Here is a 16,430-nt window from a genome sequence, read left to right on the forward strand (position 1 = left end):
ATTGCAAAGAATATTTTTATTTTGTGTAGTTTTTTTTAATGACAGTTCCAAGATTTTTTTAAAAAATAAAATGTTTTTACTAGAAATAGTACAAGCACTTCAACTTGAATGCACTTTCATAACTTTGGCTCAGAACTGAATTTTTTTTCCTTGGTAATTTTTACACTGATAGAAATCAGATTACAGGGTACTGATGGACTTCTTTTTCCTGTAATTATAGATAGGAGGGTCGTATACTTAATGTGTTCTAACTATGTAGTTCACAGATGCATTTTCATACTCTCAGTCACTACAGAATTGATTAGTCCCTAAGAAATCTTTTGGGCAAGATTAATAATCTGTTGTGGAGGATGTGGGCATCATATCAGAACTGAGTCACTCAAACACACAGGCCTGCATAGAGACAATAAAAATGATGCAATTTTTATGAAATTCTAATAACTTCAAATGTTATTTCCACCAAGGTACCTTATTTGATTCTTCCCCTAAGATGAGGCAAAAAATGGAACACAAATAATGGAAAAAATAAAGCAAAAAGTTAGAGATTTTCTTTCAAAAAAAGCCCTAGGCATTTTACAGAAAATGAAAATCAACTGAAAAAAAATAGGAAAGCATTTAGAAAGTATATTTAATACTTTTAAAATATTATAAAGTATTGTATATAATAAAGTGACATCATTTTATATGTGTACTAGTATCTCAGAGACTTGTATGATTTCTATTTAACTTAATTGTCTTTCTCATATAGAAATGTAAAAAGTGACAATGTAAAAATGTAAGTAAAGTATAAAAATATTTAAAAGTAACTGTGTATCCTCTTCTGTATGGTAGAAGTTAAATTGTGGCTAGGCTACATAATCTTATATATTGAAAGTTCAAAGTGATTTAAAAAAAACCCAACAACCTTTGGGCTTGCTTTCTTAGTTTCTTTACTCATAGTGTGTGATTAACCAAGCCTTCTGGCCTGCATACAGTGTTGCTGTCTTCATTTACAGTTTATGTACATTTATAGTATATGTATGTGTACTGTATATATGCAGACTATATATATAGAGTATATGTATAGATACATACATATATACACCTATACTGTATATTTATACATATACATACATACATGTATATTCTTGCTCTCAAGTCAAGACCATTTCTGCCACAATTTAAAAAATTTTGGCCAGGCGCGGTGGCTCGTGCCTGTAATCCCAGCACTTTGGGAGGCCGAGGAGGGCAGATCACGAGATCAGGAGATCGAGACCATCCCAGCTAACAAGGTGAAACTCCTTCTCTACTAAAAAATACAAAAAATTAGCTGGGCAAGGTGGTGGGCACCTGCAGTCCCAGCTACTCAGAGGCAGGAGAAAGGCGTGAACTCAGGAGGCGGAGCTTGCAGTGAGCCGAGATCGTGCCACTGCACTCCAGCCTGGGCGACAGAGCAAGACTCTGTCTCAAAAAAAAAAAAAAAAATGATTTTGTGTAAATTTATGGGGTACAAGTACAGTTGTGTTACATGTGTAGATTGTGCATAGCAGTCAAGTCAGGACTTTCAGGGTATCCATCATCTGAATAACATACATTGCACCCATTAAGGAATTTTTCATCATCTAGCCCCTTGCTACCCCCTCATCCTTCCAACTGTCCAGTGTTTATCATTCCACTGTCTATGCCCATGTGTGCACATTATGTAGCTCCCACTTACAAGTCAGAACACCACCATTCTTTTTTTGTGTACTTCAGTTTTTTGTTTATTTCTTTTTGAGCCTAGTAAGACATTCCTTTTGAAAAATGCATCTTGGCATTTGGATTTCTACATAGATGAATACTTATTCTTGAGCACAAAAGAATAAGAAAAGCACCTGACCAATATCTAATATAATTTGAGGAAATTCATATGTAACCCTTTCAAAGACAGGACAGTCACATGGTTCTTTCATGGAGTAATATCCCACTAAGTAGAAGTAATTAAAAATAAACTTCTTTCTTCTCATGATTTTTCACTTCAGCAACATTAATGAGATCCAAACAGCCTGTTGCTGTCCTTATTAATACCTGCTTTCTTTCCTGACCATTTTCTTCATACCTGCCATTGCTCTAACTCATGTCTCCTGATCTCCCACCTCCCCACCCCAGAAATAATACTTCCTTCACAGCCCACTTGTCTTTTCTTTATTCCTTTTTCATTGCCTATCTCAGCTCTTTATTACAAAGATAATTCCTTTTTTTCTCATGTGGATATTTCTTTCTCTCTAGAAGTGAGGAGCAGGGCAGAAAAATCTCTGACCACAAAGGTCTTCCCTTTCGTGGGAGAAGGGTTGGCTACGCACACTCTCATATTAACGTTATTGTGCCATCCCATATTATGTAGTTAAAGACAGTTCAAAAACGCTATTTAAGGCCGGGCACGGTGGCTCATGCCTATAATCCCAGCACTTTGGGAGGCCGAGGAGCACAGATCACTTGAGGCCGGGAGTTCAAGACCAGCCTGGCCAGCATGGTGAAATGCCATCTCTACTAAAAATACAAAAAATAACTAGACATGGTGGTGGGTACCTGTAATCCCAGCTACTGAGGAGGCTGAGGCAAGGGAATGGCTTGAAACCAAGAGATGAACGTTGCAGTGAGCCAAGATCGTGCCACTGCACTCCAGCCTGGGTGACAGAATGAGACTTTGTCGCAAAAAAAAAAAAAAAAAAAAAAGCTATTGAATTGATTTTCTTTAGCCAGTGTCCAATGGAGACAATTTATTATGCAAGTGTGTGTCTATTTGCCCCATAATGACTTATAGAAAATTAACTGTATCCTTATGTATACTTATGAGATTCTCTTTTCAACCTTCTTATAAGCTACCCTCTTGTAATTTCAGTAACAACTTGATTATTTCTTGTTCCTTTCTGTGGAGGAAAGAAACAACTAGAGGTAATACAATGATGATATGAGGGGAAGAAGTATGCCTAGTGATTGCTGAAAGATGAGATTTCTGGCTCATGTGCCAGTAGTAACAACTTAGGGAAAAGGGTGGGATGTGTGCTGTTGTGGTAAAAGTAGAAAAAGGTCTGGTCACTGAATGAACAGTCAGAGCCTAGGAGCAAAAAAGAATATAAGTACCTAGAGATGTAAATTAAAGAAAAGCTGGGCATGAAAATAAAACAAGGAATAGGGCTCAGAATAGGAACTAGGTTGTAACTCCTCAAGTTCTTCTCTTTCTTTTAATTACATCAAACGAGAGGAAAGACTCCCCACCCCCAGCCCCCCATTTTTGGTAATCTAATAGAGATAGGAATTTTTCTCCCCCATCACCTTCACCCTTCTCATGCTCCAAGTAAAGCATTTTGCTTGCAGCCAGAAATGGCAGATCTTAACTAATACAATTTTTAAACAGAAAGACTGGGTTCTGTGTAAGTTCTCCTTTCTGTTAACTTATATGGAAACTTGTTTTCATATGCTCCCAAACTGCACTAAATCAGTTGGCAATACCAAGCACAAGGGATACACTTCATAATCCTTCTAAATGACTGGCAAGAGAACTGTCCTGGAGAAGAATGCCCCTGCTAGCTCCTCCTTCCCTCTATCTCACTTCTATCATATTATCCATAGATTAGAGTGGCGAAGAGCAGAACACATCTCTGGTGAAAACTCTCATCAGACAAAGAAACATGATAAAACCCAGTAAACAGGGATTTCCACATCAGTTTCTATCAGGAAAAAACAAATAAATGGCTCACCTTTATATACAATGGCTCCCTAAGATGATCAACCAGAATACAAGCTTTTTCTTCCCACACAGGGTTGAGGTTCTTGTGTATTATCTTACTTCTAAAAACTTCTTTTCCTCCGATTTTAAACTTCACATATGGATCACTCGTCCCTGTTAAATAGATAGATTGATCCATGTTAATCATGACTTGGTTTGGAAGCAAGAGAACCACTCTTTTGAAACAACAAAAAGTATTTAAAGGAAGAAAAGTTAAATGAAAATTATCTATGCAGAAATAAGAGTTAAGTGTTTTCTTATGAATTTTTTATTATATATTGAAGTGATAAATAATAATAATTATTATTACTTCATCTTCTGATCTTAATCGTGTAACCTTGTCCTGGCAGTTAAAAACAGTCTATTCCAGCAATCCCGCTAGTGGACATCTACCCAAAGGAAAAGAAATCATTTTATCAAAAAGATACCTGACTCAAATGTTTATCACAGCACTTTTCACAATAGCAAAGACATGGAATCAACAGACTATTGGGCTAAAATGTGATATATATATATATCAAATGCCATGATATATATATTCCATGGCATATATATACATATATATATACAAATATATATATACATATATATATATACACAACTATATATATGCATATATATACAAATATATATGCATATATATACAAATATATATATGCATATATATACAAATATAATATATGCATATATATACAAATATATATGCATATATATACAAATATATATATGCATATATATACAAATATATATATGCATATATATACAAATATATATGCATATATATACAAATATATATATGCATATATATACAAATATATATGCATATATATACAAATATATATGTGCATATATATACATATATATGAATATATATACAAATATATATATGCATATATATACATATATATATGCATATATATACATATATATATATGCATATATATATATATATATATATGCCATGGAATACTACTCAGCCATAAGAAACAGATCATGTCTTTAGCAGCAACATGGATGGAACAGGAGGCCATTACTCTAAGTGAAATGACTCAGAGAAAGTAAGTAAAAAACTACATGTTCTCTTTTACAAGTGGGAGCTAAACAATTGGTACACATGAAGACAAAGAATGGAAAAATAGACACTGGAGATTCCAAAAGGTAGGAGGATGGGAGAGGGGTGAAGAATGAAATACCATCTATTTGGTACAATGTATACGACTTGGGTGATGGGTATTCTAAAAGCCCAGACTTTACCACTATGCAATACATCCATGTAACACAACTGCACTTGTATCCCTAAATCTATTTTTTAAAACCACACTCTATTGCATGTTGAATGTGTAAATTTAATTAAAGTTATAAATCATAGAGATTAATCTGATCTTCCTCTTGATATCATCTGGTCAACTATAAAAAGATGTTGAATAATCTTCACTGATTTAAATAGTTTTAACAGCATATATACGCTGCTAAAATTTTATACTAGTCTAATGGGCTTAGGAAAAGATGCGTGTTAAAGTGGGCTTCATTTCATCCTTGGTCCCATATTTTTTCTTGCTCAGAAGTTTCAATTTTAGAATGTTAGGAAGGGGTGGAGGTCTCAGAGAAAGACATCAGGAGAAAGGGGAACACATGTTTAATAAGTGAATTGGATTCTTTGTATTATCCCTTGACACCTCCTAAACTCCCTATGATGATAAAGAAAATCAAAGTTGATTCCCAGGCAAGATGGCCAAATAGGAACAGCTCCAGTCTGCAGCTTCCAGTGAGACCAATGCAGAAGGCGGGTGATTTCTGCATTTCCAACTGAGGTACCTGGTACATCTCAGTGGGACTGGTTGGACAGTGGGTGCAGCCCACAGAGGGTGAGCAGAAGCAGGGTGGGGCATCACTGCCTCACCCAGGAAGTGCAAGGGTTCGGGGAACTCCTTCCCCTACCCAAGGAAAGCTGTGAGGGACCATGCCGTGAGGGACAGTGCTCTCTGGCCCAGATACTATGCTTTTCCCATGGTCTTCACAACCCACAGACCAGGAAATTCCCTTGGGTGCCTATGTCACAAGGCCTCTGGTTTCAAGCACAAAACTGGGCAGTCATTTGGGCAGACACTGAGCTAGCTGTAGGAGTCTTTTTTCGTACCCCAGTGGTACCTGGAATGCCAGTGAAACAGAACTGTTCACTCCCCTGGTAAGGGGGCTAAAGCCAGGTTGCCGAGTGGTCTTGCTCAGTGGATCCTACCCCCATGGAGCCCAGAAAGCTAAGATCCACTGGCTTGAAATTCTCATTGCTAGCATAGCAGTCTGAAGTCGACCTGGGAGGCTTGAGCTTGGTAGGGAGAGGGGCGTCTGCCATTACTGAGGCTTGAGTAGGCAGTTTTCCCCTCACAGTATAAACAAAGCTGCAGAAAGTTCAGACAGGGCAGAGCCTACTGCAGCTCAGCAAAGCCACTGTAGCCAGACTGCCTCTCTACATTCCTCCTCTCTGGGCAGAGCATCTCTGGAAGAAAGGCAGCAGCCACAATCAGGAGTTTATAGATAAAACTCCCTTCTCCCTGGGACAGAGCACCTGGGGGAAGGGGTAGCTGTGGGTACAGCATCAGCAGACTTAAAAGTTCCTGCCTGCCAGCTCTGAAGAGAGCAGCAGATCTCCCAGCACAGACCTTAAGCTCTGCTAAGGGACAGTATGCCTCCTCAAGTGGGTCCCTGACTCCCATGCTTCCTGACAGGGAGACACCTCCCAGCAGGGGTCGACAGACACCTCACACAGGAGAGTTCTGGCTGGTATCTGGTGGGTGCCCCTCTGGGATGAAGCTTCCAGAGGAAGGAGCAGGCAGCAATCTTTGCTGTTCTGCAGCCTCTGCTGGTGATACCCAGGCAAACAGTCTGGAGTTGACCCCAGCAAATTCCAGTTGAACTGCAGAAGAGGGACCTGACTGTTAGAAGAAAACTAACAAACAGAAAGGAATAGCCATCAACATCAACAAAAAGGATGACCGTGGAAAACTCCATCCAAAGGTCACCAACAGCAAAGACCAAAGGTAGATGAATCCACAAAGATGAGGAAAAAAACAGCGCAAAAAGGCTGAAAATTCCAAAAACCAGAATGCCTCTTCTCCTCCAAAGGATCACAACTCCTTGCCAGCAAGGGAACAAAACTGGATGGTGAATGAGTTTGATGAATTGACAGAAGTAGGCTTCAGAAGGTAGATAATAACAAACTTCTCAGAGCTAAAGGAGCATGTGGTAACCCAATGCAAGGAGGCTAAAAGCCTTTATAAAAGGTTAGAGGAACTACTAAATAGAATAACCAGTTCAGAGAAGAACATAAATGACCTGATGGAGCTGAAAAACACAGCATGAGAACTTCGTGAAGCATACACAAATATCAATAGCCAAACTGATCAAGTGGAAGAAAGGATATCAGAGATTGAAGATCAACTTAATGAAATAAAGTGTAAAGACAAGATTACAAAAAAAAAGAATGAAAAGGAATGAACAAAGCCTCCAAGAAATATGGGACTCTGTAAAGAGACCAAACCTACGTTTGATTGGTGTACCTGAAAGTGAAGGGGAGAATGGAACCAAGTTGAAAAATACACTTCAGGATATCCAGGAGAACTTCCCCAACCTAGCAAGACAGGCCAACATTCAAATTCAGGAAATACAGAAAACACCACAAAGATACTCCTCAAGAAGAGCCATCCCAAGACACATAATCGTCAGATTCACCAAGGTTGAAATGAAAGATGAAATGTTAAGGGCAGCCAGAGAGAAAGGTCTGGCTACCCACAAAGGGAAGCCCATCAGACTAACAGCAGATCTCTCTGCAGAAATTCTACAAGCCAGAAGAGACTGGGGGCCAATATTCAACATTCTTAAAGAAAGGAATTTCCAACTCAGAATTTCATATCCAGCCAAATTAAGCTTCATAAGTGAAGGAGAAATAAAATCCTTTACAGACAAGCAAATGCTGAGAGATTTTGTCACCACCAAGCCTGCCTTACAAGAGCTCCTGAAAGAAGTGCTAAATATGGAAAGGAAAAACTGGTACCAGCCTCCACAAAAACAAACCGAGATGTAAAGACCATTGACAATATGAAGAAACTGCATCAACTAATGGGCGAAATAACCAGCTAGCATCAAAATGACAGGATCAAATTCACACATAATAATATTTACCTTAAATGTAAATGGGCTAAATGCCCCAATTAAAAGGCACAGACTAGTAAATTGGATAAAGAGTCAAGACCCAATGGTGTATTCAGGAGACCCATCTCACGTGCAAAGACATGCACAGGCTCAAAACAAAGGGATGGAGGAAGATTTACCAAGAAAATGGAAAGAAAAAAAAGAAAAAGCAGGGGTTGCAATCCTAGCCCCTGATAAAACAGATTTTACACCAATGAAGATTAAAAAAAAAGAGAAAGAAGGGAATTACCTAATGGCAAAGGGATCAATGCAACAAGAAGAGCTAACTATCCTCAATATATATGCACCCAATACAAGAGCACCCAGATTCATAAAGTAAGTTCTTAGAGACCTACAAAGAGACTTAGACTCCCACACAATAATAGTGGGAGACTTTAACACCCCACTGTCTATATTAGACAGATCAACAAGACAGAAAATTAACAAGGATATTCAGGACTTGAACTCAGCTCTGGACTAAGTGGACCTAATAGACATCTACAGAATTCTCCACCCCAGATCAATAGAATATACATTCTTCTCAGCACCACATTACACTTATTCTAAAATCGACCACATAATTGGAAGTAAAACTGCTCAGCTAATGCAAAAGAACAGAAATTATAACAAACAGTCTCTCAGACCACAGTGCAATCAAATTAGAACTCAGGATTAAGAAACTCACTCAAAACTGCACAACTACATGAAAACTGAACAACCTGCTCCTGAATGACAAATGAGTAAATAACAAAATTAGGGCAGAAATAAATAAGTTCTTTGAAACCAATGAGAACAAAGACACAACATACCAGAACCTTTGGGACACAGCTAAAGCAGTGTGTAGAGGGAAATTTATAGTACTAAATGCCCACAAGAGAAAGCAGGAAAAATCTAAAATTGACGCCCTAACATCACAATTAAGAGAACTAGAGAAGCAAGAGCAAACAAATTCAAAAGCTAGCAGAAGACAAGAAATAACTAAGATCAGAGCAGAACTGAAGGAGATAGAGACATGAAAAACCCTTAAAAAAATCAATGAATCCAGGACCTGGTTTTTGAAAAGATTAACAAAACAGATAGACTGCTAGCCAGGATAATAAAGAAGAAAAGAGAGAAGAATCAAATAGACGCAATAAAAAATGATAAAGGCAGTATCACCACTGATATCCCACAGAAATAGAAACTACCATCAGAGAATACTATAAACACCTCTACACAAATAAACTAGAAAATCTAGAAGAAATGGATAAATTCCTGGACACATACACCCTCCCAAGACTAAACCAGGAGGAAGTTGAATCCCTGAATAGACCAATAACAAGTTCTGAAATTGAGGCAGTAATTAGTAGCCTACCAACCAAAAAAACCCATGACCAGATGGATTCACAGCTGAATTCTACCAGAGGTACAAAGAGGAGCTGGTAACCATTCCTTCTAAAACTATTCCAAACAATAGGAAAAGAGGGATTCCTCCCCAATTCATTTTATGAGGCCAGCATCATCCTGATACCAAAACCTGGCAGAGACACAACAAAAAAAGGAAATGTCAGGCCAATCTCCCTGATGAACATTGATGTGAAAATCCTCAATAAAATACTGGCAAACCGAATCCAGCAGCACATTAAAAAGCTTATCCACCACAATCAAGTCGGCTTCATCCCTGGGATGCAAGGCTGGTTCAACATATGCAAATCAATAAATGTAATCCATCACATAAACAGAACCATTGAAAAAAACTACATGATTATCTCAATAGATGCAGAAAAGGCCTTCAATAAAATCCAACACCCTTTCATGCTAAAAACACTCAATAAACCAGGTATTGATGGAATGTATCTCAAAATAATAAGAGATATTTATGAGAAACCCACAGCCAATATCATACTGAATGGGCAAAAGTTGGAAGCATTTTATTTGAAAACAAGCACAAGACAAGGATGCCCTCTCTCACCACTCCTATTCAATATAGTATTGAAAGTTCCGGCCAGGGCAATTAGGCAAGAGAGAGAAATAAAGGTATTCAAATAGGAAAAGAGGAAGTCAAATTATCTCTGTTTGCAGATGAGATGATTGCATATTTAGAAAACCCCGTTGTCTCAGCCCAAAACTCCTTAAGCTGATATGCAACTTCAGCAAAGTCTCAGGATACAAAGTCAATGTGCAAAAATCACAAGCATTCCTATACACCAGTAACAGACAAACAGAGAGCCAAATCATGAGTGAACTCCCATTAACAATTGCTACAAAGAGAATACAATACCTAGGAATACAATTTAAAAGAGATGTGAAGGGTGTCTTCAAAGAGAACTACAAACCACTGCTCAAGGAAATAAGAGAGGTCACAAACAAATGGAAAAACATTCCATGCTCATGAATAGGAAGAATCAATATCGTGAAAATGGCCATACTGCCCAAAGTAATTTATAGATTCAATGCTATTCCCACCAAGTTACCATTGACTTTCTTCAGAGAATTAGAAAAAACTACTTTAAATTTTATATGGAACCAAAAAAGAGCCTGTGTAGCCAAGACAATCCTAAGCAAAAATAACAAAGCTGGATGCATCATGCTACCTGACTTCAAGCTACACTACAAGGCTACAGTAACCAAAACAGCATGGTACTGATACCAAAACAGACATATAGACCAATGGAACAGAACAGAGGCCTCAGAAATAACACCACACATCTACAACCATCTGATCCTTGAGAAACCTGACAAAAACAAGCAATGGGGAAAGGATACCCTATTTAATACATGGTGTTGGGAAAACTGGCTAGCCATATGAAGAAAACTGAAACTGGACCCCTTCCTTACACATTATACAAAAATTAACTCAGGATGGATGAAAGATTTAAACGTAAGACCTAAAATTATAAAAACCCTAGAAGAAAACCTAGGCAATACCATTCAAGACATAGGCATGGGCAAAGACTTCATGACTAAAACACCAAAAGCAATGTCAACAAAAGCCAAAATTGACAAATGAGATCTAATTAAATTAAGGAGCCTCTGCACAGCAAAAGAAACTATCATCAGAGTGAACAGGCAACCTACAGAATGGGAGAAAATTTTTGCAATCTATCCATCTGACAAAGGGCTAATATCCAGAATCTACAAGGAACTTAAACAAATTTAAGAGAAAAAAACAACCCCATCAAAAAGTGGGCAAAGGATATGAACAGATACTTTTCAAAAGAAGACATTGACGTGGCCAAGAAACATATGAAAAAAAGCTCATCATCACTGGTCATTAGAGAAATGTAATACAAATTAAAACCCCAATGACACACCATGTCACGACCGTTAGAATGGCAATCATTAAAAAGTCAGGAAACAACAGATGCTGGAGAGGATGTGGAGAAATAAGAATGCTTTTACACTGTTGGTGGGAGTGTAAATTAGTTCAACCACAGGGGAAGACTGTGTGGCAATTCCTCAAGAATCTAGAACTAGAAATACCATTTGATCCAGCAATCCTATTACTGGGTATATACCCAAAGGATTATAAATCATTCTACTATAAAGACACATGCACACGTATGTTTACTGCGGCACTCTTCATGGTAGCAAAGACTTAGAACCAACCCAAATGTCCATCAATGATAGACTGGATAAAGAAAATGTGGCAGATATACACAATGGAATACTATGCAGTCATAAAAAAGAATGAGTTCATGTCCTTTGTAGGGACATGGAAGAAGCTGGAAACCATCATTCTCAGCAAGCTAACACAGGAACAGAAAACCAAATAGTGCATGTTCTCACTCATAAGTGGGAGTTGAACAATGAGAACATATGGGCACAGGGAAGGGAACATCACACACTGGGGGCTGTTGGGGGGTGGGGGACAAGGGGAGGGATAGCATTAGGAGAAACAGCTAATGTAGATGACAGGTTGATGGGTGCAGCAAACCACCCTATGTTACCTATGTAACAAATCTGCACGTTCTGAACATGTATCCCAGAGCTTAAAGTATAATTTAAAAAAAAAGAAAGAAAATCAGAATTGTCCAGTAAGTTGTTCATGGATACAAAGCTAGCAAGAGATGGAGTTAGGATTCCAACCAAGGCTATTTGACTCTAATGCCTGCACTATTTCTACTACACCTACAAAAAGGAAGGGACTTCACATATGTACAATATATATCATACCATTTCTCATCTTTGTGTGAAGCTGATGAATGAGACCAATCTTGACCTACAGAGTCTCTGCTGCTGTTAAAGATCCCTGGAGAAGGTAACTTAGTGATGGTCCTTAAGTAAATCATTCCAGTGTGTAACAATCTTCACCACAAGAAAATAATTCTTTATGAAAGGCCTGACTCCTTTATGATAAAGTTTGACCACATTCTTCTTCTTTAGTCTACATTGAAGCTACAATTAATAACTATAGTCTATATGATTTAAAGAAAAAGGTGAGACTTGTCTATTCACCTCCTTAGCCCACTTTTCGATGTGATTTTTTTCTTGCTAATTTGTTTGTGCTCATTGTAGATTCTGGATATTAGTCCTTTGCCAGATATATAAATTGTGAAGATTTTCTCCCGCTCTGTGGGTTGACAATTCTCAAAGGAGATATACAAATTACCAACAAACACATGAAAAAATGGTCAACGTCACTAATAATCAGGGAAATGCAAATCAAAATCACAGTGCAATGCCACCTTACTCCTGCGCAAATGGCTATAATAATAATAAAAAAAAAGAAATAGATGTTGGTGTGGATGGGGTAGAAAGGGAATGCTCCTATACTGCCGGTGGGAGTATAAACTAGTACAACCACTATGGAAAATGGTGTGGAGATTCCTTAAAGAACTAAAAGTAGAAGGACTATTTAATCCAACAATCCCACTACGGGGTATCTGCCCACAGGAAAAGATGTCATTATACAAAAAACATACTTGCACATGCATGTTTAAGGCACCACAATTTGCTATCGCAGAAATGTGGAACCAATCCAAATGGCCATCAATCAACAAGTGGATAAAGAAATTGATATATATATATCATATATTGTATATATTGTATTTATATATCATATATTGTAGATATATAACATATATATTGTGTGTATGTATATACATGTGATGGAATAGTACTCAGCCATAAAAAGGAATGAATTAATGGCATTTGCAGCAACCTGGATGGGATTGGAGACTATTATTCTAAGTGAAGTAACTCAGGAATGGAAAACCAAATATCGTATGCTCTCACTCATAAGTGGGAGCTAAGCTATGAGGATGCAAAGGCATAAGAATGATACAATGAACTTTGGGACTCAGGGGGAAAGGCTGGGAAGGCAGTGGGGGATAAAAGACTACACATTGGGTACAGTGTACACTGCTTGGACGATGCATCAAAATCTCACAAATCATCACTTAATAACTTACTCATGTAACCAAATACCATTTGTTCCCCAAAAACCTATGGAAATAAAAAAGAAATAGATACATAATAAATCTTTAAACTTGAAAAAAAGAAAAATGTGAGGTGGGCTCTGAAAACTGGTGAAAGCTCACTCTGCTTCCAAGTTGGCACCTTGCTGCTGTGTCCTCACATGGCAAAAGGTGAAAGGACAAAAAGGCCTAGCTAGTTCCCTTGAGCCCTTTTGTAAGGGTGCTAATCCCATTCATGAGGACAGAATGCTTGTGACTCAAACATCTTCTAAAGGCTCTACCTCTTAAAACTATCAAACTGGGTCTTGGGTTCCAACATATGAATTTTGATGGGGAGGAAAACATACAGTCAAACTATAGCACTATCCATTCATTGATAGACATTTAGATTGCTTCCATATCTTGGCTATTGTGAATAATGCTGCAATGAACATGGGAGTGCAGATATCGCTACTAGATCCTGATTTCATTTTCTCTGGATAAATACCCAGAAATGAGATTGCTAGGTAATATTGTAATTCTATTTTTTTTTTTTTTTGAGAAACCTCCATACTGTTTTCCTTAATGGCTGCACCAATTTAGATTCCCATTAACAGTGAACAAGGGTCATATTTTCTCCAGATCCTGTCCAACACTTGTTTTCTTTTTTTTTTTTTAATAATAGCCACCCTAACAGGTGTGATTTGATACCTCAGTGTGGTTTTCATTTGCATTTCCCTGATGATTACTGATGTTGAGGACCTTTTCTTATGCTTCCTGGCTATTTGTATGTCCCCTTTGGAAAAATCTCTATTTTGGTCCTTTGCCATTTTGTTTTGGTAATCGAGTTATTTGTTTTTCTGTTACTGAGTTGTAGTAGTTCCTTATATAGTTTAGATGTTAGCTCCTTATTAGAGGTATGTTTGCAAATATTTTCTCCCCTTCCATAGATTGCTTTTTTATTTTGTTGATTGTTTCCTTTGCTACACAAAAGCTTTTCAGTTTGATGTATTCCCATGTACCTATCTTTGCTTTCGTTGCCTGTGCTTTTGGCATCATATCCCAAAAGTCATTGCCAAGACCAATGTCAAGGAGCATTTTCTCTATCTTTCCTTCCGGTAGTTTTTCATTTTCAGGTCTTACGTTTAAGTCTTTAATCTATTTTGAATTGATATTTTTATATAGTATAAGGGTCAAATTTCATTCTTCTGCACTATTCACTGAAGAGACTTTCTTTTCCTCATTGTATGTTGTTGGCATCTTTGTCAAAAATTAATTGACTACATATGATGGATTTATTTCTGGGCTCTGTATTCTGCTTTGTTGGCCTATGTGTCTGCTTTTATGCTAGCATCATACTGGTTATACTGTGGCTTTTGATTTTTAGCTTCATATCACTGTGATCAAAAAAGATACTTGATATGATTTTAATCTTCCTATACTTCTTAAAATTTGTTTTGTGGCCTAACATATGATCTAACTGGAGGATATTTTGTGTGTGCTTGAGAATGATGTGCTGCTGAACAGAATATTCCATATGTGACTCTTAGGTCCACTGGGTCTAGAGTGTAGTTTAAGATTGATGTTTCCTTATTGATTTTCTGTCTAGATGATCTGTTCATTGCTGAGAGTAGGGCATTGAAGTCCCCTACTATTATTGTATTGCAGTCTGCCTCTCCCTTCAGATCTATTAATATTTGCCCTATATTTGTAGGTGCTCCAATTTTGGGTACATATATATTTACAATTGTTATGTCCTCTTAATGAACTGACACCTTTATCATTACATAATTATCATCTTTCTTTTACAGTTTTAAAGTTTGTCTTGTCTGATATAAGTACAGATACGCTTGCTCTCTTTTGGTTTCCATTTAAATAGAATATCTTTTTTTATACCATTGCTTTCAATCTATATGTGTCCTTAAAGGTGAAGTAAGTCTCTTGTAGGTGGTATATAGTTGAGTCTTTCTCTTTTAATCCATTCAGTCACTCTGTCTTTTGATTGGATAATTTAATCCATTTACATTAAAGGTAATTATTGATAGGTAAGACCTTATTATTGCTCTTTTATTAACTGTTTTTTAGTTGTTTTGTAAATCCTTTGCTATAGTTATTTTTAATAATTTTGTCTTTGAACTTTCATAATAAATTTAAAAATGATTATGCACCACCATTATAGTATTAGAATAATAACTATTGGTCAAATTCTGGATTTGACTATATTCTTATCTTTACTAATGAGTTTTATGCTCTCATGTTTGGCTAAGAAGCATCCTTTCATTTCTGCTTGAATAACTCTCTGAATCATTTCTTATAATCGAGGTTTAGGCGATGAACTTGCTCAGCTTCTGTTTGTCTGAGAAAGTCTATATCTCTCCTTCATTTCTGAAGGAAAGACTTTCTGGGTAAAGTATTCTTGGATGCCATTTTTTTCTCTTTCTGCTGGAACCAGCTGGTGCTAGAGTGGGCCTGGAGCCTAGGTCTGTGGGGAAGTCAGATATCCACTTCACTCTCTTTTCCTTACAGGAGAGCTCTGAACAGAGGAGATCTCTCTAGTCCTCACACCATTCTGGTTTGGAAAATGATTCAGGTAGAGTGAAACTGCCCTTCCAGCCCTTTACTGTGCCTTTTCCCATTCTGTACTCCACTAGTGTGGTGTAACCTTTCACCTGGAATCCAGAGCTCAGGGAAGTATTTTTGTGTGTGTGGATGGTTTTTTTTATCAGTCTTTCTGTGACTGGACAAGGGGTGTAATCTCCTATTCTGCCATCTTGCTGATGTTACTCTTCTTAGTCTCAACAGGTATTTGTTAAATAAGTAAATGAATAAGTGAATCTGTGTACAGAGTACTATCAAATACATTCTTGCTATTTGATAAATTCGTGCACATTTATTTCCCTTCCAAAATTCATGTTGAAACTAATCCTCAATGTAACAGTATTAAGAGGCAGTGATTCGGAAGTGATTAGGCCATGAGGACTCTATCACGAATAGAATAATACCTTATAAAAGGATTTGAGGGGATGTTTTCCCCTTCTGTCTCTTCTGCCACGTGAGGACACAATGTTTTTTCCTTTCCAGAGGACCCAGCAACAAGGCAATATCTTTGAAGCAGAGAC

General features: G+C 37.4%; 1 protein-coding gene across 56 annotated transcripts in view; it reads right to left on the minus strand.

Moving 5' to 3' along the window:
• MCTP1 (multiple C2 and transmembrane domain containing 1) overlaps positions 1-16,430 on the minus strand; it is a 581,405-nt gene that overhangs the window by 245,810 nt on the left and 319,165 nt on the right. For all 56 annotated transcript variants that reach the window (XM_047417718.1, NM_001393537.1, XM_047417715.1 and 53 more), the window contains one exon: positions 3,720-3,862. In XM_047417718.1, coding sequence (XP_047273674.1) covers positions 3,720-3,862 — 143 coding nt within the window. The remainder of the gene's footprint in view (positions 1-3,719; positions 3,863-16,430) is intronic.

The sequence above is a fragment of the Homo sapiens genome, chromosome 5 (assembly GCF_000001405.40).
Source record: "Homo sapiens chromosome 5, GRCh38.p14 Primary Assembly".
Taxonomy (NCBI): domain Eukaryota; kingdom Metazoa; phylum Chordata; class Mammalia; order Primates; family Hominidae; genus Homo; species Homo sapiens.